Below are 23,682 nucleotides of genomic sequence, written 5' to 3'. Positions count from 1 at the left end.
AATTAGGTACCAGGTGTGGAGACTAGGCTACCAGAGGGTCTGACTATTTCCAACATAACTAGAGGGCATGGCTAACGCCGCATGTCCCAGGCCTTATCTAGAATCTAATACTCCAAAATAAATTGAACAATTTTTAAAAGCCAAAGAAGCAGTTTATGACCTTACTATATTTAGTAAACCTAATATCTGACCTGCATAATTTAGACCAAATGTTTACATTTTTAAAAATATTTTTATGTTACCAATAATCTTCAAAACTGTCTTTGTTTCCCAAAGGTTAAAGTTACACGAACTAAATAAAAGGCATTATACTTTTTAATTTTCTGACAAAATATTTGATTTAAGCTCTTATTATTATTAAACCAAATTAATCAAACCTCCTTCATATATAAACATCACACACACAACCCATATAAATACACAGACAGACAGAAGATAAAGGACTCATCCCCTAAGCCAGGAATTGGACCCTGAATCCAGGTCACCATTGTGAAAAAAGAAAGCACAGCCACATGGTTATAAGGTCAAGTTCCCAAGGACATACAAGACAAGAAGGAAACCTCATTCAATTTTTTTCAGGGACCTGCAGAAAAGTTTGTAACTTTCCAGTTTGCTGGGCCATCTGAAAATGGGCTTACAGGTGTCCTAAGCCCATGTTTTATCCTAAGGTACCCCTCTTGGTGACAGAACAATATAGAAAGACACACAAAACACGCCAGATTCACTACAGCTTAAGATTAGCCTCGTGAATCCTTTCTCCCATTAATCAAAAGTTTATAGGAGATAAACAGTGATTTTTACCATTCCTTCGACCAGTTTGCACAGAGAGAGAGAGGAAAGGGAAGGGAGAAAAGCACTGCTTATGGCAGGGTGGGGAAGGCAAGGCGCTCAGGGAGACCAGAGAAAGACCTGCCCATTGCAGCAGACACTGAATCAAAAGTTCAGGCGGTCACTTGTCAGTTGAGAAGGGATCTTTTCCAGCAGGCCCAGCAGCTCTGAAGTTTCCCCTTTTAGGGAAGAAAAAGCTCCTCATGTCCCGTGATCACAGGATCACATGCCTAATCCTGTCACCCATAGCCATCAGCAAAGAGTGCAACACAGATTAATCCAAAGAGAATGGCAGTTAACATCCCTTAGTGCCAAACCCGTTCTTAACCATGAGGGACTTTACTGAGAGGGGCCTCTAACCCCTTAAATCTTAGGAAGGACTCTAACCCTCCTAAGTTGGCCCTCTAAACCAAGTTTGGTCAAGCATCCTTGCCATTTATTAAGAGGGGCCTTTAACCCAGTCTGTCTTAGCAGAGACCCAAACTTCCCTAAATTGGGCCTCTAACCCAATCCCATCTTTTACCTGGGTACCCCACCACTTGCCCAAGGTCGGCCTATCAATGATGTAGTCTATTTCCTTTGCATTGGGAGGTTTCTTCAGTATTGTCCTTTTGGGTTTGCCAGAAAGATGTTACAGGACCCTATCACTTACTCAAAGTTAGCCTTTGGGTTGAGGGTTTCTGCACTGTAGTCCCTTCTGTGGTTGCCAGAAAGATGTTACAGGAAAGGGGTCCCAATCCAGACCCCAAGAAAGGGTTTTTGGATCTCGCACAAGAAAGAATTCAGGGCAAGTACGTAAAGCAAAAGCAAGTTTATTAAGAAAGTAGAGGAATAAAAGAATGTCTACTCCATAGAGCATCCCTGAGGGCTACCGGTTGCCCATTTTTATGGTTATTTCTTGATTATATGCCAAACAAGGGGTGGATTATTCATGCCTCCCCTTTTGAGACCATATAGGATGACTTCTTGACATTGCCATGGCATCGTAAACTGTCATGGCTCTAATGGTAGTGTAGCAGTGAGGATAAACAGAGGTCACTCTTATCGTCATCTCAGTTTTGGTGGGTTTTAGCCAGCTTCTTTATTGCAACCTATTTTATCAGTAAGGTCTTTATTATCTGTATTTTGCTGACCTCCTATCTCATCCTGTGGCTTAGAACGCCTTAACCTCCTGGGAATGCAGCCCAGGAGGTCTCAGCCTTATTTTACCCAGCCCCTATTCAAGATGGAGTTGCTCTGGTTCAAACGCCTCTGACAAACGGGGAACTGAAACAGCAGAGAGACTGAGTTACAGCGAAGGAATGAGGATGGAGATGGGGGGCAGGAGGACCATTACAACACTCACTAGTGAGGGCTGCTAGTGCCCTCTTAGGTAGACTTGTCCCTCCCAAGTCTAAGGGACCTACTTGGACCTCCCATTTGGTAAGTCTCTGGGTTTCTCCTCTGCCAGCCTTGCCAGCCCTGCCCTGGTCCCCTGTAACCCCATTCAGAGGCCCCTGGGGTAGTTAAAAGCCCACCTTTGTGTTGACAAAAAGAGTTAAACTCTGTAAAATATTTGAAGAGATTTATTCTGAGCCAAATGTAAGTGAACATGGCCTGTGACACAGCCCTCAGGAGACCCTGAGAACATGTGCTCCAGGTGGTCGGGGAACAGCGTGGTTTTATACATTTTAGGGAGACATGAGAGATCAATCAAATACATTTAAGATATACATTGGTCCTGTCCAGAAAGGCAAAACAACTTGATGTGGGGGCTTCTAGATTATAGGTAGATATAACAATTTTCTGATTGGCAATTGGTTGAAAGAGTAATTATCGATAGAAAGGAATGCCTGGGTTGTAAGAGGTTGTGGAGACCAAAGTTTTATCATGCAGATGAAGCCTCCAGGTAGAAGACTTCAGAGAGAATAGATTGTAAATGCTTCTTATCAGCCTTAAGGTCTGTGTTGATGTTAATGCTGGAGGGTATGATGAGGCATGTTCGACTCCCACTTCCCATCATGGCCTGAACCAGTCTTTCAGGTTTAATTTTCGAGTGTCCTGGCCCAGAAGGAAGTCCATTTAGATGGTTGAGGGGGCCTCAGAATTTTGTTTAGTCCCCATGGCTCCCTCTAAAGTTGAACTCATAGTCCTTTCTTCTTGCAAGAGTTCCTGTAAGAAAAAAAATAAAACAACACCAAAAACACTAATCACAGGAAAACTCCAAAGCTTTAGGTGCAACATGGTGGGGAAGTTAAAAGCACAGCTTGGAAGTCAGGCTTCTTGGGTTGCTGACCCTGGTCTACAACTATGTAGCTTCTACAGCTTGGTGCTATAGTCTGAATGTCTGTGTCCCCTGAAAGTTTATATGTTGAAACCTAATGAATGTGAAAATTGCAGATACCAGGATGAAATCACTTTTCATCCTAGCTCATGCTTACATGTCTGAAATGAGAACTGTTTCCAAGGACTTTCTAAAAACGTTTTTATGTCCTTCATGTATCTCTCGCTTTGCTAGATCCCTAGATGTTCTCCAGGACTGCTGTTATTCAGATAAGATGTTTTCAGAACACTTGCCCAGTGATGGCATCTCTACCAATGAACTGACAGCAACTCTGGCTTTGAATCTCTGGAACCAATTAACTTTGTTCCACAGGAGGAATCTCAGATAAGACTTTCTTAAAGCCATGCCCAGCCATGGATTTGTGCCATCAAATACTTATAAATTGGGTGAATTTCCTCTCCTCTTGAGGTTCTGAGGTAAACCTGGGGCTTATGTGCCTGTCAGAAAGTGACATTCTTTACTTACTACAGGTCAGAAATCTTGTACGGAGACTGTGTACACAAAATATGGGGCCAGTTTTTCCAAGGACTTTATTGGTTCCATAAGTCAAGTTTGATTCCTTAAAGAAAAGCACACCATTCCAGTCAAAGTCTTAGTAAAACAACCAATTTCTCCAATCGTGTCCTGTTACAAATTAGAACAGATTCTTATTGCACTTATGCAAATAACTGTATCACCATAAGTTAAGAATACTTACAAATAGTTTCTGAATTCTGGAGAAATCAGGTAGAGAGAAACAAATATGCTCCAAATTTTGTCATAGGAGTATACTAAATTGTTAAAAGCTGTCAATAGCTCAAAAGAAAAGTTTTAAGACTGAAACACAAAACAAAGGATCAGCAAACATTTTAAGCAAAAAGTCAAAAAGATTGGTTCAGTCTATGCAGTTAATTCCTGTTCTGCTTGATACTCATGAACATTTTAGCTCTCCATGAGTCCTGAAACTTTTCCCTCTATTCTGATGTCACAATCTCCAAAGTTATCAGAAACCTGCATGTAAGAGCACCTGTTGGAGTTTTACAGCTGATTATAAAACCACCTTCTAAAGAGGACCAAAATAGGCCAGGTGTGTGGCTCACATCTGTAATTTCAGCACTTTGAGAGGCCAAGGTGGGCTGATCACCTGAGGTCAGGAGTTCAAGACCAGCCTGGCCAACATGGTGAAACCCCATCTCTACTGAAAATACAAAAAAATTAGCTGGGCATGGTGGTGTATGCCTGTAATCCCAGCTACTCGGGAGGCTGAGGCAGGAGAACCGCTTGAACCTGGGAGGTGGCAGTTGCAGTGAGCCAAGATCGTGCCGCTGCACTCCAGCCTGGGCAACAGAGTGAGTCCCCATCTCAAAAATAATAATAAAAATATATTTAAAAAAGAGGACCAAAACAACAATTGTGCATGGAAGAAAAAAGTTTTAAGGCAGCCATAGTCAAAAGACAAAACTGACAAGGAAATTTTTTACCTCTGTGGCACACAATAATTTTAATATAACAATTATGATTATTACTGATAATGTACACTAAGTTATATTAGAATTATAGGAGTTTCACATAATTTTGGAACATACACCAATAACATATTTATACAAATACAGCCCAAAGAAAACCAAACACCATTTCACATTTGACAATGCTTCCTATATAATTTTTATACCAAATAAGCCAAATTATGTCATTTTAGGACTTTAGGGAAACTAAGATCTTAAAGGATTAATTAGGTTAGAAAAATACATAATTTATAATTTGATTTTGGAAAGCTTGTCAAATACAAAAGGTTTAAAACACTTGACATTACAAAATAAAATTACAGGTCATCGTAAAGTCATTTATTTAATCCAAGTGATAATTCAAGGATTTCAAAAAAAGCAAAAACCTTCATTCTTTGAGAGAGGTGACTTAACTTTCTAAACAAGAAGCCCTAATAAAAACAGCCTGAAGCCAATCACATTTGATTTTCAAAATTTTGTAAACAAACTATAAGATTTAATCTTGATTATAAAATATAACTTCCATAAGCCTTTTATAACCTTTATGAAGGAGTTGGTTAATGCTTCAAGAAAACCTTGCTAATCAGACACAGGGGTCCATATACTGATTTTGCATCAGTGTGCCTTTGACTTGAATGATTAGTTCATAGAGAAACTGAACTTACTGGATCTTTCAAAATCGGCCCTTACAATCTTACGCGCCCACCTCTTCCGCAATAGTCCCTGGGCCTTGAGGAGTTGAATAGCTTTAATTTCTTGCCTAGTGCCTCAGGAATGCAGTTTATTTTGATTGGCATCTTCTACGGGGCCTTAAGATGAGGCTTTGATTGTCATCAGTGTTTGTGATTTTTCAGACACAGGAGTTAAAGCCCTGTAACTCAATGTTACAAGGACTTTAAAAGCATACACAGGAAGATACATGGATGTAATAACCTTGATTTTTTAAAAATTAGCTCTTTCTTCCCTAAGCAAACCAAAACTTAATAATAATATGACAACTTGATTATATAAAAGCTTTTGGGGTGTGTGTGTGTGTGTGTATATATATATATAAAATCTTATCATGACTTACACCAATGTTCATGACATGCTTGGACTTTCTGGTTTGTCCTGAACATCCCTCCTTGTTAAACAACCAGTTATTTTATTTTAGGACTAAATTTACCATATAAAATTCTTTCTTATATAAAATTATTTCTTTTTCAGCTTTTTAACCTTGAAAAAATTCTTTATTTTTATAACTTTATTTACATTTTTTTTCTTTTCTGGTTCCTTTTACCTTGTTTTATATATAACCTTTTAATAAGCTTTGAATTAGACAAAACTTGTTCACCATTTTTTTAAAAAAGGACACACTTTTTTTTAAGCAACAATGTTTTCCTACAAGATATATTTATTGGAAAATACCCAAATAATAAATTATCTATTATTTAATTTAATATGACTTTATATTCTAAATTATGTCCAGTTGGTCTATAAGTATTTATCCCATTACATTTACCTAGTTATTTTATTAATTGTTTACCTAGATTATTTATAAAAACTGTGATAGTCATGATTTAAAGTTATGAAACTTCCATTGCAAAATTACAACTGAGACAGTGAAAAACGATTTGACCTAACTGACTCCACCTTGCTCTTAACTTCCAAGCTGTCCTTGTTCATTCCTGGGCATAGGCCGAATGAACTTTGGGAGGAACCTAGTTTAAGTTCAGCTTCGAAACAATGACAATAACAGTCCTTTCCCAAAACAAACCTCCTTATTGTCTGTGGACTAAACTGCCTAAAGCCACAGGATTAGAAGTTATGGTAATCTTACTAAATTCAAGATGCAGCTGTTTTCATTAAACCCATATCAATGTCTTATTTATTAAAAATTACACAAGCAAAGATCATTCTGTTTTGGGCTGGGTTTATAGTTTTATAACCCCTATGCCAAATTTTGACACCTTCTGGTATTTGGCAGGGATAAGTATAAAACTGTTTGATTAATATAATGCAAACAAAAATGTATGCTGGCAATTCTTAAGACATTTCTAATACTACTTTACCAATAATTTTAAAGCTACTTTATTTATTAAAGATTTTACTTAAGTTACATAAATTTGAAAAAGCATTTGACTAGCCTTTTCTTTTTTAGTATCTGATTTAAGCACTTTTATTTTTCTTTAAGCCAAGTAGAGCTCTTTTACATATTTTTAGCACTAAAACATCGTGTACACAACACATACATACATATAAAGACGTATTAGGCATGCCAATAGAAGTACATTTTATAGATTTATAATGCCCCCCCACTTTTTTTTCCTATCTTAGACTTTCAGATTCTTGATAACCTGTTTTACAACCCTAGGCAGTTGTCAGCTAAATAGCCTTAAATTTTTGCACATTAAAGGAAACAACCCAGGTGAAAATCAAATAGCAAAATTTACATGATAAGGTACAGAGAGGAAAAGTCTGGTGGTGTTAGAGGGAGATGCTTTTATTTTTCTTTGAGCGATATTAAACATAAAACGAAACTACATTCTTCCTTAACCCAAGAGTAGCCTCTGTTGCAATAGCTATTTTAGTCAAAAAATCCGGTGAAAACAGAATTCAGTCAACTGAGAAGTAAAAGGAAAAAAAAAAAAAAAACTTTTGCTACAAAAAAAAGACAAGGTCTTAGGAGAGAAAAACAAACAAGAAACAAAAACATGAAGGCCTTTCAAATACAAACATGCACAAAACACACATCATGGATGTTACTGTTTCAGTTAAGCAGACTTTCAACCACTGAGCTTCTTTAAAAACTTAAAAAAAAAATCTTATTACCAAATCTCAGCTAGGACAAAGTGTTGCTATTTCAGAAGTACAGCCATTGCTCTTTGAGTTTGGTCTGGCTAGCAAAAAGCTGGCTGTGTTATGTAAATAAAGCCCCTATAGTAATTAAAATTTAAAAAAAGTTTTTTAAGCTGGCTGTTTTCCTACCACTTCAGAGTCCTTGACCCCGTAATTTAGGGTTCCCCTTCAGATTTGACTAAGACAGAAACAAACAACAAAACAGTTAAGCAAAACTAACAATGGTCACACAAATTATACAATTTCTGAGTGCTCTAAGTGCATTGGAAGAAAGCTGAAACTCCATAAAAACATCACCTGCCTTCCATCATCATGAAAGCAGGAAAACTTGCCTTCCTTGTTGGGAGCAAGTAAAACTCCAAAAAAAGAGGTGTTGTACAGCAAAATAAACTTCCGATCTCTACCAAATTTTAAGAGATCAGGGATTTTCTGGAGGGAGTCCTCTCAGACCTCAGCAAATTGTCCTATTGGTTTGAGCCATAAAGTTAGCTCATGCTGGTACCAAGCACCGATAGATTTGTCAAGGGTCAGGGGCATCTCCACCCAGAATCCATTCATGGTTTCCAAAATGTGAACCCAGAAAATCCGAGACAGGTCTCAGTTAATTTAGAAAGTTTATTTTGCCAAGGTTGAGGACACACTGTGACACAGACTCAGGAAGTCCTGATGACATGTGGCCAAGATGGTTGGGGCATACCTTGGTTTTATACATTTTAGGGAGACATAAGACATTAATCAATATATGTAAGAAGAACATTGGTTCAGTGGGGAGGGAGCTTCCAGGTCACAGATAGGTGAGACACAAACAGTTGCATTCTTTTGAGTTTCTGATTAGCCTTTCCAAAGGAGGCAATCAGATATGTATCTATCTCAGTGAGCAGAGAGATAACTTTGAATAGAGTGGGAGGTGGGTTTGCCCTAAGAAGTTTCCCTAAGCTTGAGTTTTCCTTAGTGATTCTGGGGCCCCAAGATATTTTCCTGTCACAGTTGACATCCCCAACACAGTGTTTAGGGCTCAGAAAAAGATACCCTAAAATAGGGTGCTTTGGCATGCTGAGTGCTTTGAATAAAGGAGACTGAAGGGCCTCAGAAATAAGAGAACAAAGGTCTATCTCTGACCCACTGCTGCCCACCTCCCTTCCCTTCCAAAGCACAGGGAGGGATTTTCTTTGAAGTTCTCTTATTTGATTAAGGGAAGTTTCTCCAGAAGGAAGGTAATTGTCCTGGACACCCCTTCCTGGAATCTACATCGATCAGAGAAGATTAACTCATATTGCAGGACAGGAGAATAATTAAAAGTTGCTCAAGACAGCACACCTAGATAGACTTTTTGCTTATTCTTTCAACTATAGTTATGTGTCCAATAACAATGTTTCGGTCAACTGCATATACAACCATGGTTTGATAAGATTTATAGTGGACTTGAAAAATTCCTATTGCCTAATATACTGAAGGAAGAAAATGTTTTAATATGCATTTTGTGTACCCTAAGTGTGCTGTGTTTATAAAGCCTACAGTAGTATACAGTAATGCCCTAGGCCTTCACATTCATTCACCACTCACTGACTCATCTGGAGCAACTCTCAGCCCTGCAAGCTCCATTCGTAGTAAGTGCCCTGTACAGGAGAGCCAATTCTTATCTTTTATGCCATATTTTTACTTTCCTTTTTCTCTGTTTACATATGTTTAGATACACAAATATTTCCCATTGTGCTGCAATTGCCTATAGTATTCAGTAGTCACATGCTGTACAGGTGCGTAGCCTGGGAGCAATAGGCTCTCCCATATAGCCTAGGTATGCAGTAGGCTATGCCATCTAAGTTTTGTATAAGTACAATCTGTGATAATCACACTACAATGCAATTGCCTAATGACACATTTATCAGAATGCGTCCCTGTCACCAAGAGATACATGACTGTATTCTTCTTCTTTTTTTTTTTTTTTTTTTTTTTTGAGATGGGGTCTCATTCTGACACCCAGACTGGAGTGCAGTGGCATGATCTTGGCTCACTGCAACCTTTACAGCCTGGGTTCAAGCGATTCTCCTGCCTCAGCCTCCCGAGTAGATAGGATTACAAGTGCCCTGCCACTACACCTGGCTAATTTTTGTATTTATAGTAGAGACAGGGTTTTGCCATGTTGGCCAGGCTGTTCTCAAACTCCTAACCTCAGGTGATCCAGCTTTATTAGTGTAATTACACTTTATCAGTGTAATAAGGCAAACTTTGCTCACCACAGACTTCCTCCCCCTACCCCCTCCCACAGCCTGTGTCACTACCTCCCCATCAGAGGCCTCACTTCCTGTAGCTTGGGGTGTTATTTAAGCTTCTGCCATCTGGCCCACATTAAAAAATGTATATGCTTTTTCTCCTGTTAATCTGTCTATTGTCAGCTTGTTTTATAGATTCAAATTCTTAAACCTTCAAGGTCTAGAAAGGAAGTTCCTTCTACCCCTCCAATAGTATAAAGAAGTGGAGCCTTTTGGTAGGTGATAGAGTCATGAGGGCCCTGCCTTTAGGCATAGAGTTAGTGCCTTTATAAAAGAGGCCCAGGGGGGCTTGTTTGCCCCTTCTGCCATGTGAGAACACAGCAAGACAGTGCCATCTGTGAAGCAGAGAGTGAGCCTTCACGAGATGTGGAATCTGCTGGTGCCTTGATTTTAGACTTCTCAGCCTCCAGAACTGTGGATCTCTGGATACATCTCTGTTGTTTGTAAATTACCCAGTCTAAGGTATTTTGTTATAGCAGCACAAACAGACTAAGACACTTGGCGAGTGACATAACCTGTCTGGCTTAGTCATCTTTGGTTGCTATAACAAAATAGTAACAAACTACTATAGATTGAGTTGCTTACACCACAGAAATTTATTGTTTCACAGTTCTAGAGGCTGGAAGTCCCAGACTGACTGACTTATTCAGTTCCTGGTGAGGGCTCTCTTCTTCTGCCTTGCAGATGGCTGCCTTCTTGCTGCATCTGCAAATAGCCTTCCTTCAGTGTAGGTGTGCAGCAGGGGTGGGGAGGCCCTCTTGTATTTCCTCCTCCTCTTATAAAGAAGTCAATTCCATCGGGTTAGGACCTCACCCTATGGCCTCAGTCAACCCTAATTACCTCCCAAAGGGTCCATCTCTAAATACAGCCACATTTTGGTTTAGGACTTCAACATATGAATTGGGAGGAGGAGACAATTTAGTTCCTAACTCCGCCTGTGGCTCTGTGACCTCTTTGTTAAAACTGGGAAGACCCGGCTGGGCAGGGTAGCTCACGCTTGTAATCCCAGCATTTTGGGAGGCCAAGGTGGGTGGATCACTTGAGGTCAGGAATTCGAGACCAGCCTGGCCAAAATGGTGAAACCCTGTCTCTACAAAAAAATACCAAAATTAGCTGGGCGTGGTGGTGCGTGCCTGTAATCCCAGCTACTTGGGAGGCTGAGGCAGGAGACTTGCTTGCACTCAGGAGGCAGAGGTTGCAGTGAGCCGAGATTACGCCACTGCACTCCAGCCTGGGCAACAGAGACCCTGTCTCAAAACAAACAAACAAACAAACAAACAAACAAACAGGGAAGACCCTTTTCCCAGCACATAGGCCTTAAGGAGCATTGAAGGAGAAACAGAAGGCATGCCGAGGTCTGTCCAGGACAGGCACCCTCATCTCCAAGATGTACTTGATATTATTTGGACCTCCAAGGCCATTGTATGCCATGTCCTGAGGAACATTCATGTAAACTGTACATACACACAGACACACAGACACACACACAGCCACAGCCACATCCACACATGCTCCCTTAACTCCTTCCAGTAAGCCTCGGTTTCGCAGGTCCCAGTTAAATCCTTCCCCACCCCTCTGGCCCTTGACCTCACTTTCTGCTGCAAGCTCTTGTAGAGCTGGGTGAGTTCTGTGAGTTTCCTCTCCAGCTCCAAGGCCTTGGCTCTCAACTCTTCCGCAAACTTTGTCCTTGCTCCTTCCTTCAGGTGCTTCCATTCCTTTGAGAGAGTGGCCAAGTCATAGCCAAGGGAGAAGGCGGACATCACACCTCCCAGCACGCGAGCATTTTTGGTCATCGCCAGTGTTGTTCCCGCAAAGGCCTTTTGCACCTGCACGCGGCTCCGGGAGGAGACTTGGCCAGTGGTCAGAAGACGCTTGGTAGCATTGGCCAAGCGTGGGTTGGCTCTGAGTTTCCAAAATGCACGGACGTTTTTCTTGGCATACTTCAAGGTGTTTCTAAGATTATAGATAATCTTTCCAGCAGCTGTGACATAGTCTGCCTTCTCTTCCTCATCCTCCCTGTCCTCTTGGTCGTAGGTGGGCAGTATGTCTTCCGCCCGTGCTTGGGCTTCTTTATTTTTGGAGCGTTCCAACGTACCACTCACGATGCTGGTGACCCCAGCTGCTGTTGCCAAACCTTGACCAGCGGTGGAGAGCAGCAGGCTTCCTCCTCCTGTTGCTGGGGCAAGGGCTAAACCCAGGAGGCTCATCACTCCAGAGATGACAGCAGTAGAGGTGGCCACCATGTTAGCCTTGGTGAATTTCTTGTGGGTTTTGTCAATATCGTCTGCGAGGGCACGGAGCTTGTCAATGTTCCCTTTCAGATCTTCTTTCAATCTGGGAAATTCTCTCAAAAATATTTTTTCTTCGGGGGACAGATCTCCGTCTTGTAGCTCCACGTCTTCACACAGAGGAGCGTCATCCTCATCCCTGAGGAGAAATGAAATAAAGATTTTGCTTCAGCTTCCCAGATGGGAAAACCCATGTGGCTCTTGGATATTCTTGCCACTCTCAGCTTCGAATCCTCCCTGTACCTCCCTACAAAATCCCCTGAAAAGTCCTAGAGCATTGTAGAGTAGTTCAGCCTTCGCTGAAAACTACTGGTTCCATGGAAAAAAGAAACACATAAGAGGGGCATGTGGAAGGACAAATGTGAATCACCCCAGCCTTGGTCAAGGAATGGGGAAGGAAAATTAAGTCCTGAGGTATGTTTTCAGCCTTGTTCAGAGAAAGCACAGCACTGCTGCAGAGGAGGGGCAGTGGGGAAATGTTAAAACCCCACTCAAGATAAAGAACTTGGGAACAATGGCGGGAGAGTTCTGGGAAAAGTAGGAGAAAGAGAAGACAAGGTGGTGGGCAGGGGATGAGCGTCCCAGATGTGTAGAAGTGAGTAGGAGGGTGGAGGGGGCCATATTGCATCATACATCCTCCACTCTAATGACCTCGAATCTGGTTACTCTGGGGTGTGTCTTTGCTTCTATCAGGAGTTGCACATTGAGAGTTGAGATAAATTATTATTCATGTCCTGAATGCTCTCCTTGCTCTTGGTCAGCTTTACTTGACCCTTCAAGCAGATGGGATTAGTCCTTCATGGAAGAAGTTTGGGACAAAGAGACCTAGGCCCCTCTTCCTCCAACATTTTACAGGATGAAGTACGAAGGGATCTTTGCCAGGCCAGTTGGCTTTGACCTTCAAGGCAGAGCTGCATCAGGGTGAGAGCAAAGCCTGCTGCTTGGGGCATTTTCTCATGCAAGGTGCCATTTGTGCATTTCCTTCAGGGTGAGCCGAGGAGGCCTGGTGATAACAGATGCCCTGGCCCAAAGAAGAACATCAGAGCTGGAGGGAGGCCTGGAGAGGATCTGGGCCACCTCCTTTATGATTCAGTGGGGGGCCTCAAGCCCAGAGAGAAAAGAGGACACTCCCAAAGGAACATGCAAGGTAAAGATGGAGCATTGGGTGGGCTCTGAGTCCTAAACTTGGTGCTTTCTGCCTTTCCTCTCACCTGTCAGTTGATGTCAGGGCCTCCTCATTGAAGTATATGTATGTCCATAAATGTATTTATCTTTAAATCTCTCTTTCCACACACACACGCACACAATTCCTCAGTGGGAAAGATTAGAAACTAAATATACCATCGAGCATATGTTTTAAGTGTTAATGAATTAATAAATTTAGGCACAATTATCTATTAATCCACAGGTGTAAATCAGTTAACAGAGCAGAAGGTCACCAGGGCTTGCAATGGGGAAGGGGTGGGATGAAGGCAAGCGGGGTGGCCCTGACAAAGAACCCCAGACATAAAAGATGCCATAGGTTAGCCCACCCTGATCTCTGTGTTTCCTCAAGGTATGCTAGACAAAAAGAAACAGCAAATAGATATGTAGCTGCAAAGATCAACAACGCCACTGTGTATGAACTGTAAAGTTTTTGGTTTTAGCATGGTTGATAACTAACAGAAGCTTGACTTCATGTGTTTCTTAATTAAACCAAGCGTCTCACATGTGAACACCTCTGCTCCAGTGAATCCTGTATCAGCTGGTGATGTCTACTGGCATTGGATAACATTTCAGTCCAGTTCCATGACATATTACACATAGAGTTCGTCTAATTCACTCAGCAAATATTTGTTACTTGCACACATTGTGCAGGGGGCCGGTGGTGCTACGTCTGCTGATTTACAGACAACTGGGCTTAAATTCATTAATTTGTTAACACCAAATGGCTTCCTTCCTTGGTGATATATGAGCTGAAGAAATGGAGTTCCTGTCTTCAAGACAGTTGCAGAGATGAGGCCCCAGAGTGGAGCAATTTTTGTCTTTGGAGTCCTATTGCCCAAAGCCATGCGCCTGACTTAATCTTGACTTGCTCTCCAAAATATTTACTTTAGCTCCATGAAGTATTTTTTTCCCTAGGGGAACAGATTTTCATATGCATAATGGAGACCAGCGGTAAGATAAGGCCCACTTAACAGCTAATCCTATCAGAGCACATGTATTCCTTATCGTGAGGATGCCTGCAGCATTTCAACAGAATCAGCCCTCTCCCTGGGGACTACACCCTTTGGATTACCTTTGCAAACCAACACCAGCCTCACTTTCTCTCTCCGCCTGGTTGTCCATCAGCCTCTGTGGCAGCAAATCTGTGTCCCCAGGAGTCAAATGATTTTCTGGTCAGGAATGTAGAAAAACAACGTTACTGCACATATGATGAAACCTTATGAAATTCAGGTGTGGAGGGATTTTGGATTATGTACTATCAAAATAACAACCACATAGCATACTAAATATTTGCAAACTATTATTTGAAAATTGTATGTTGAGGTGTAGCTTACATACAATAAATGCATACAGTGAAATAGTCAGTTCAATACATTTTTACCTCTATATTGGAGGGTAGCAGTATACACCATCCCAAAATATGCCACTTTGGCATAAGGATTATTTTGAGCCAAATGTAATTGAGAAGAAGTGGGTACAAGAAAAGTTCTCCACCCTCCCTCTATTTGCCTAAAAGCAAGACATAAATTGACAAAGGTAAAGCTGTCCCTTGTCTCCTCACTAACAAGAAGGATAAAGTTTGATCACCAAAGATGACATTGACTTACTTTCCCACAAGTTGCTCCTGCTGGAGACTCAAAACCCTTTTCCATTGTCTTGCTACTTCTCTAAAAATGTACTGTTCATTGTTGGAGATGTATTGAAGCTGGAATTCAAAGCTACCTCTTTGAGAATTATTTAATCCCTGGATCTCTCCCATGTCCATATGAAATAGACATGTTAATACGCTTCTGCTTGGTTTTCTCTCGTTAATGTGTCTTGGGTTACAGGAGTCTGTTCCAGCTAAGAACTTATGAGGGTTGAGAAAAAAATTACTTTTCCTCCCATACATAGCCAAGGGCTGGTAACAACTCAAATACATCAATCAACAGAAGAATAAACAAACAAATTATAGTTTTTTTATATAGTTAAATATTACATAGCAATAACAATTTTGAAAACTACTGATACCCAAACAACATGGAATAATTTCACAGACATTATTATTGAGTGAAAGAAATCAAACAAATGGCTCCATTTATATGAAACTCAATAATATGCAAATGAATTGGTTGTAGAAGTCAGAATCGAGGTTTCTTCTCGGGTAGTGCGATTATTGACTGGGAGGAGGAAGTACAAGGAAATCTCCTTTTCTCCATCTTGACCTGGGTAAGTGATTCCTTAGATGGATATTATAAGAGAGGAAAAAATAATTTTCCCTCTGCCCTTCTAAGTTCTCAGCTAGGATCCTTGTAACCCAAGACAGATTCATAAGAGAAAAACAAACAGGAGTGGATTAATATGTACCTCTTAAGTGTATGTAGGAGACACCAGGGAATAAATAATTCTCAAAGGAGTGGCTTGGAACTCCCTGCTTATATAGCCACCTTCAACAAAGAACTATACAATTTTAGAGAAGGGACAAGATGAAGAAAAAAGACTTTGCATCTTGAGGGCCACCAAATTGTGGGTAGACAAATAAATAGGAAATGAAGGATAGAAAGAAACTAGTCAGTAAGTTTTGTTACGCAGCTTCCTCTGGTACCATCTCCAGGCCTATAAGGGTCTAAAGTTCTCAGTGGTTAACCTTTATTCTCCTTGATAGAAAGACCTTTGTAAATTTAGATCTTGCTTTTAGGCAAATAGAGAGAGGACAGAGAACCTTCCTGCATCTGCTGCTTCTTAATTGCCTTCGCCTCAATAATCCCTATGCCAAAGAGGCATATCTGGGGGTAGCTTATTCTGTTCTCTCACAATTATGACCACATAGACTGTAATGATTAAAGGATCATTTTCACCAAACAAAGCAGTAATTTACAAGGCCCCTTTGTACAAATTGTATTCCCAAGAACATAATATGTTGTGATATTGTGATTTATAATTATATATAGATATATAATTACATATACGTGTGTATATATATGTGTGTGTATGTGTGTGTGTGTATATATACATATATATATATATAGAGAGAGAGAGAGAGAGAGTTCTTATCCCCATTTCTGGCACAGGGCTCTTAAAACCCTTGGAATTTCCTGAGCGATGAGAGCAGTAAAGGTGAAAAGAGCATCTTTTCTTAACCATAACCGACCCCTTTTAGCCACACCCGAGTTTATGTTAATGAGGTGACTTTAGAAAGCCTCCAAGGATGGGGGGCTGCTTGTCTGGGGAAACAACCATGTGATTTGAGGGTTGGAATATTCAGCCCTACCCCTTGAGTTCCAGGAGAGGAGAGAGACGGGAGATTGAGTTAACCACAAATGGCCCATAGTTTCTTTAATCCATCATGCCTGTGTAAGGAAGCCTCCATAGAAACCCAAAAGGACAGGGTTCAGAGAGCTTCTGGGTTGGTGAACACATGGAGGTACCTGGAGGGTGGTGTGCCCAGAGAGGGCATGGGAACTCCATGTCTCTTCCCCCATATCTTGCCCTGTGCATCAATTCCGTCTGGCCATTCTTGAGTTGGATCCTTTATAATAAACTAGTCATTGTAAATAAGTGTTTCCCTGAGTTTTGCAAGCTGTTCTAGCAAATTATTGAAACTGAGGAGGGAGTTGTGGAAACCTTCCATGTGTCACCAAGTTGGACAAAAGTTGTGGGCAACCTGGGGACCCACCACTTACAACTGGTGTCTGAAGTAGGGGCAGTCTTATGGGACTGAGCCCTTAACCTGGGGGATCTGATAGTATCTCCAAGGAGATAGTGTCAGAATTGAGTTAAACTGTAGGATGCCAAGTTTGTTCTCATAAAGAAGTGGAGAATTGCTTGGTGTAGGGAAAAAAACTCACATATTTTGGTGACCAGAAGAAGGTAAATTGGTGTGAGTATTGAGGGTAGTAGTAGAGTTCAGCCTCCTTCCTTCACCTCTCTCGCACACGCCCTCTTGCCCTTCTGCCTTCTGCCTTCTGTCATGGGATAACACAGCAAGAAGGTCCTTGCCACGTATCTCAAAATAATAAGAGCTATCTATGACAAACCCACAGCCAATATCATACTGAATGGGCAAAAACTGGAAGCATTCCCTTTGAAAACTGGCACAAGACAGGGATGCCCTCTCTCACCACTCCTATTCAACATAGCGTTGGAAGTTCTTGCCAGGGCAATCAGGCAGGAGAAAGAAATAAAGGGCATTCAATTAGGAAAAGAGGAAGTCAAATTGTCCCTGTTTGCAGATGACATGATTGTATATCTAGAAAACCCCATTGTCTCAGCCCAAAATCTCCTTAAGCTGATAGGCAACTTCAGCAAAGTCTCGGGATACAAAATCAATGTGCAAAAATCACAAGCATTCTTACACACCAATAACAGACAAACAGAGAGCCAAATCATGAGTGAACTCCCATTCACAATTGCTTCAAAGAGAATAAAATACCTAGGAATCCAACTTACAAGGGATGTGAAGGACTTCTTCAAGGAGAACTACAAACCACTGCTCAATGAAACAAAAGAGGATACAAACAAATGGAAGAACATTCCATGCTCATGGGTAGGAAGAATCAATATCATGAAAATGGCCATACTGCCCAAGGTAATTTATAGATTCAATGCCATCCCCATCAAGCTACCAATGACTTTCTTCACAGAATTGGAAAAAACTACTTTAAAGTTCATATGGAACCAAAAAAGAGCCCACATTGCCAAGTCAATCCTAAGCCAAAAGAACAAAGCTGGAGACATCACGCTACCTGACTTCAAACTATACTACAAGGCTACAGTAACCAAAACAGCATGGTACTGGTACCAAAACAGAGATATAGACCAATGGAACAGAACAGAGCCCTCAGAAATAATGCCGCATATCTACAACTATCTGATCTTTGACAAACCTGACAAAAACAAGAAATGGGGAAATGATTCCCTGTTTAATAAATGGTGCTGGGAAAACTGGCTAGCCACACGCAGAAAGCTGAAACTGGATCCCTTCCTTACACCTTATACAAAAATTAATTCAAGATGGATTAAAGACTTAAATGTTAGACCTAAAACCATAAAAACCCTAGAAGAAAACCTAGGCAATATCATTCAGGACATAGGCATGGGCAAGGACTTCATGTCTAAAACACCAAAAGCAACGGCAACAAAAGCCAAAATTGACAAAGGGATCTCATTAAACTAAAGAGTTTCTGCACAGCAAAAGAAACTACCATCAGAGCGAACAGGCAACCTACAGAATGGGAGAAAATTTTTGCAATCTACTCATCTGACAAAGGGCTAATATCCAGAATCTACATGAACTCAAACAAATTTACAAGAAAAAAACAAACAACTCCATCAAAAAGTGGGCGAAGGATATGAACAGACACTTCTCAAAACAAGACATTTATGCAGCCAAAAGACACATGAAAAAATGCTCATCATCACTGGCCATCAGAGAAATGCAAATCAAAACCACAATGAGATACCATCTCACACCAGTTAGAATGGCGATCATTAAAAAGTCAGCAAACAACAGGTGCTGGAGAGGATGTGGAGAAATAGGAACACTTTTACACTGTTGGTTGGACTGTAAACTAGCTCAACCATTGTGGAAGTCAGTGTGGCGATTCCTCAGGGATCTAGAACTAGAAATACCATTTGACCCAGCCATCCCATTACTGGGTATATACTCAAAGGATTATAAAACATGCTTCTATAAAAACACATGCACACATATGTTTATTGCGGCACTATTCACAATAGCAAAGACTTGGAACCAAGCCAAATGTCCAACAATGCTAGACTGGATTAAGAAAATGTGGCACATATACACCATGGAATACTATGCAGCCATAAAAAAGGATGAGTTCGTGTCCTTTGTAGGGACATGGATGAAGCTGGAAACCATCATTCTCAGCAAACTATCGCAAGGACAAAAAACCAAACACCGCATGTTCTCACTCCTAGGTGGGAATTGAACAATGAGAACACATGGACACAGGAAGGGGAACGTCACACACCGGGGCCTGTTGTGGGGTGGGGGGAGTGGGGAGGGATAGCATTAGGAGTTATACCTAATGTTAAATGATGAGTTAATGGGTGCAGCACACCAACATGGCACATGTATACATTTCTCCGGGTGAAATTATCCTGGATTCAGGGTGGCCCTGAAATCCATCACTGATGTCATTATAAGAAGAGGAGGTGACAGAGAGAGACACAGCAAAGAAGGCTGCACGCAGACAGAGGCAGAAATTAGAGTCGTGCTGTCAGAAGCCACCGAGGCTGCAAAAGGCACAGATGGTCTCCCTGGAGCCTGCAGCAGAAGTGCGCCCTACTGGCACTGGGATTTTTGACTTCCAGCCTCCAGAACTGTGAGACACTAAATGTCTGTTGTTTGAAGCCACCTGGTTTGTGGTGCTTTCTGACAGCAGCCCTAGGGAAGCCAATACATTCCTTTGCATCTCTTCTCTACATTTGGTACTTGGTCCAGCGCTTACGGCAGAAATGCTGTTTCCTAGATATAGCTTCTCCCTCAGCTCATCCTCCCTTCTCTCATCCTCTTCCCTTCCACTTCTAAAAAGTTAGAAAAAAACATCCTCCCTCACACACTCTGAAGGGACACAAATTCTTTATTTTTAAAAAAATTTTTTTTTTTTTTTGAGACTGAATTTTGCTCTTGTTGCCCGGGCTGGAGTACAATGGCATGATCTTGGCTCACTGCAACCTCCACCTCCCAGATTCAAGCGATTCTCCTGCTTCAGCCTACCAAGTAGCTGGGATTACAGGCACGTACTAACACACCCGGCTAATTTTTGTATTTTTAGTAGAGATGGGGTTTCACAAGGTTGGCCAGGCTGGTCTTGAACTCCTGACCTCAGGTGATCCACCCACCTCGGGCTCCCAAAGTGCTGGGATTACAGGCATGAGCCACCATGCCCAGCCCAGGACACAAATTTTTATAGCCATTCATTTATAGCCATTCATTCATTCATTCACTTATAGCCATGAATACAAGTTTAAGGTTGAAAATTTAGAAATAAATTATAAAATCCACCTTACGCTCACCATATGGAAATGCATGCTGTTCATGTAGTTTGTGTGAATTCTTGTCACCTAACATTGTATCTTAGTAGTTCCCCAGGCGATACATAGAAGCCATGTCGCATTTCATTTTACGAATGTATCATTACACATTCAATAACTCTCTCACTGTTGAACCTTTGGGTTGTTTTCAGTTATTTTAAAATTTTGTATTTATAATTTTTGGTTAAAATCCTTATATAGACGTCTGTCTACATGTTTGGTTATTTCTTTGGGGTAGTCTATGAAAAAGAATGAATGCTTCAAAGATAAAAACCTTCTCCCCTCTTTGGTATGTGAAGCTAGGTTTGGTTTAGGGGGCTTGGCACCTTTAAGAGTTTACTTTCACCAGACATACATCTACCTGCTTTACACAGTGACCCAGTGAGATCGGTGCTAAGATGATGCCCATTTTACAGAGGTGCAAACTGAGACATAGGGAGGCCAGTGTCACACAGTAAGCAGGAAAGCCTGTGCAATTCCAGCCACGCAGAGTCTGGAGTAGTTGGTCCCAAACAGGGCGTGTTTGCTCCTCAGGGACACTGCTAATATCTGGAAACATTTTTGATGGTCTCAGCTGGAGAGGGTACTGCTGTTGGTATGTAGAGGGCAGAGGCCAGGGATGCTGCCAAGCACCCTACGATGCAGAGGACAGCCCCCACAACCAGGGATCACCTGGTTGAACATGACAAGGTTGCTGGGGGTAAGAGACTCTGGTCTGGAACCCCATTTTTTACCAGCGTCCGCCAATACCTCTCTCATTTTTTTACATTAGTCCTATGGGATGCAGGGCAAAGGTAACAGCAGGAAACTCATCTAAGCAGGTCCCATTCCATCCCCTCTGACCTGCTCTTGGTGGTTGCGAGAGGATTTGCTTGTGAGAGGTTTATTGGAAGAGGATTTGAGAACTTACTTTCATTTGAAAGCTTACAGGATATTTATGACAGTCTTTCCTTACCTGCCTTCCCCCACAAAACCAACTTCTGCAGATACACAATCTAAGTAAGAAAAATCTGCTTACTTTGAAAACACAGCTTCAAGATAACCTCCCTAGATTTTTTTTTTTTTTTTTGAGACCGGGTCTCACTCTGTTGCCCAGGCTGGAGTGCAGTGGTGCGATCACTGCTCACTGCATTCTTGACTTCCTGGGTTCAAGTGATCCTTCCACCTCAGCACCCTCCCAAGTAGCTGGGACTACAGGTGTGCACCATCACGCCCAGCTATTTTTTGATTTTTTGTAGAGACGGGGTCTCACTATGTTGCCCATGCTGGTCTCAAACTCTTGGGCTCAAGCAATCCGCTTGCCTTAGCCTCCCAAAATGCTGGGATTACAGGCATGAGCCACTGCGCCTGGCCTAGTCGCCCTAATATTTATCACAAACTCCCTCACCCTCTTCCCCAAACAACTTCACATAAATCTACAATCTAGAAAACTCTGTAGGTTGGCTTTGCAGTTTCTAGACAACTCACCCAGCACCTTTTTTCTTGTGAGATGACACCCCTAAACCACTCCTCTACTGAATTTCTAGGGAAACGCCTGTGGCTGATGTAATCATCTGCTTTCTAAGGGCCAGGTCCCCTCTGCCTAAGCCCTCGGATCCCCAGCAGTGGAGGGACAAATGCAACTTGGCTAGTCACATCGCATGCTTTAGCATGTTTCAATTTAACCCTGAAATGGCTGTAAGGGAGGGAAACCTACCAGGATTAACACAGGAGAAGTTAATCCTCAGACTCTCCTCAAGCTCTGGCTGGCATTTGAACCCCGCTGCTTTCACAGCAGCTCTTTTCCCTGAGTCAGGTGCCTAAAGCCAACCCCTTGGGGGCTCTGTCCTTCAGGGACCAGAGCGGCAGCCCCCTCCTCCCCCGACTTCTGCCCGCCGTCTCACCTTCTCTCCACGGAGCTCTCCTTTGTGGCCTTGGGTCCCGAGGGAGAGGAAGATCCTGAACCTCTGTCCTTGCCTCTCCGAGGTCCCCTGGTCTGGCAGGGGGCTGTGAGTGTCTGGGCTGGAGAAAGACGGATAGGAAGAGTAGGGTGGCCTTTGAACAGGAATTGATTGCAAAACTGGTTTCGGTTAAGTGCTGCAGGAGAGAAAAAGCAAAGCTCTAGGGCTCTTCCAGGAAATCATGGGCTCCAGCTGTCACTTTCAGTTTCCTTTTTGCCAGTTTCTCTAATTGGATGAACAAGGAGGTGAAAGAGCAGAATCCAAGTCAGGAGGCCTGAGTCTCTCGTCTCTGTCCTGGCTGTGTTATAGGATGGACCTATATGGGGTATGAAAATAGCTCCTGTGGCTTAGAGCTATGGTGAGGAGCCCATGAGCAAGCGATGGGGCGCCTGTTGAATAGTGGATTCACAGTAGCTGTCATCACTGATTGTTCTGAAACTGCTTTCCTCCACAGCATCTTACGTGACGCTGATGTGGGTAACAACCCTATGAGGTGCACAGCATTAAAGGGCTAATAACTCTGAATGCAGAATCCTCTGAAAATGGAAACTTTATTTTATTATTATTATTATTATTGTTTTTTGAGATGAAGTCTCGCTCTGTTGCCCAGGCTGGAGTGCAATGGCACGATCTCGGCTCACTGCAACCTCCGCCTCCTACGTTCAAGCTATTCCCCTGTCTCAGCCTCCCTAGTAGCTGAGATTACAGGCACCTGCCACCACGCCCGGCTGATTTTTGTATTTTTAGTAGAGATGGGGTTTTGCCATGTTGGCCAGGCTGGTCTCAAACTGCTGACCTCAAATGATCCATCCATCTAGGCCTCCCAAAGTGCTGGGATTACAGGCGTGAGCCACCGCACCTGGCCTCAGAATGAAAACTTAAAAAAAAATGATAATTTATTCATTTAGTGGCAAAACCTGACCTGATCTGGCATGAATTCACCTGTGGTTTTTATGTCTCCTGCTTAATTTGAATATTTACAGTCACTGCAGAAATATTAATATGTTTGACTGAGGAGGGCTGCTGCGGGTGCGTGGGTTACATAGTACACGATACCTGCACCCCATTACCTTTCTAAAAATCCCCCAAATCAGGAACTCTGACATGCATCTGGCCTCAAGGATTGGAGATATAGGATTGTGATACTCTGTCTCCCACTTTAAGGAAGAGGAAACCCAGGCTTCTAGAAGTTGTGGGTTGTTTGTGATTACACAGCTAAGAACCAGTCCTAGGCTCTGTGTCTACAAGAATGAGCCCACAGTGAGGTTACGGGCTGAGATCTGTGTCTCTCTAGCATTTGTGTCAAATTGTGATCAGAAGCCATGTGGTTTGTTTGTATTTATATGCCCAGAAGTCCCCAGTCACCACCCCTAGCTGAGACCACATTGGAGGCTGTTGCTTTGCAGAAGGTGCGGCCCACCTAGCCAGTCCTGGCTTTGCTGTGATAGAGGCCACCTCCTGTCC

General features: G+C 42.1%; 1 protein-coding gene across 2 annotated transcripts, besides 2 other annotated features; it reads right to left on the bottom strand.

Moving 5' to 3' along the window:
* Nucleotides 1-2,380: 2,380 nt before the first annotated feature.
* Nucleotides 2,381-22,339, bottom strand: APOL6 (apolipoprotein L6). Of its 2 annotated transcripts, XM_011530392.4 has the most exons (4): nucleotides 22,162-22,339; nucleotides 17,065-17,181; nucleotides 14,310-14,406; nucleotides 2,381-12,170 (listed from the first exon to the last, which is right to left on the bottom strand). In XM_011530392.4, the coding sequence occupies exons 3-4, from the start codon at nucleotides 14,357-14,359 to the stop codon at nucleotides 11,189-11,191; spliced, it is 1,032 nt and encodes a 343-aa protein (XP_011528694.1). In that variant the 5' UTR covers nucleotides 14,360-14,406; nucleotides 17,065-17,181; nucleotides 22,162-22,339; the 3' UTR covers nucleotides 2,381-11,188. The 2 variants fall into 2 exon arrangements, with proteins under 2 accessions (XP_011528694.1, NP_085144.1); NM_030641.4 differs by lacking the exon at nucleotides 17,065-17,181.
* Nucleotides 9,827-9,936: an enhancer, noted in NCBI's record as "active region_18913". NCBI's record gives its function as "activates an Ori minimal core promoter by ATAC-STARR-seq in GM12878 lymphoblastoid cells {active_cell/tissue: GM12878}" and the evidence as "EXISTENCE:reporter gene assay evidence [ECO:0000049][PMID:35858748]".
* Nucleotides 22,335-22,634: an enhancer, noted in NCBI's record as "active region_18912". NCBI's record gives its function as "activates an Ori minimal core promoter by ATAC-STARR-seq in GM12878 lymphoblastoid cells {active_cell/tissue: GM12878}" and the evidence as "EXISTENCE:reporter gene assay evidence [ECO:0000049][PMID:35858748]".

This window comes from Homo sapiens, chromosome 22 (assembly GCF_000001405.40).
Source record: "Homo sapiens chromosome 22, GRCh38.p14 Primary Assembly".
In the NCBI taxonomy this organism is placed as follows: Eukaryota; Metazoa; Chordata; class Mammalia; order Primates; family Hominidae; genus Homo; species Homo sapiens.
This window is presented reverse-complemented; position numbering and strand designations above follow the sequence as displayed.

Excerpts from the sequence above, each read along its gene's own strand:
- APOL6 (XM_011530392.4), bottom strand. The coding sequence starts at position 14,359 with ATGGACAACCAGGCGGAGAGAGAAAGTGAGGCTGGTGTTGGTTTGCAA. Across the intron at positions 12,171-14,309 it reads GCTGGTGTTGGTTTGCAAAG|GGATGAGGATGACGCTCCTC; the intron begins GTAATCCAAAGG and ends ATTTCTCCTCAG.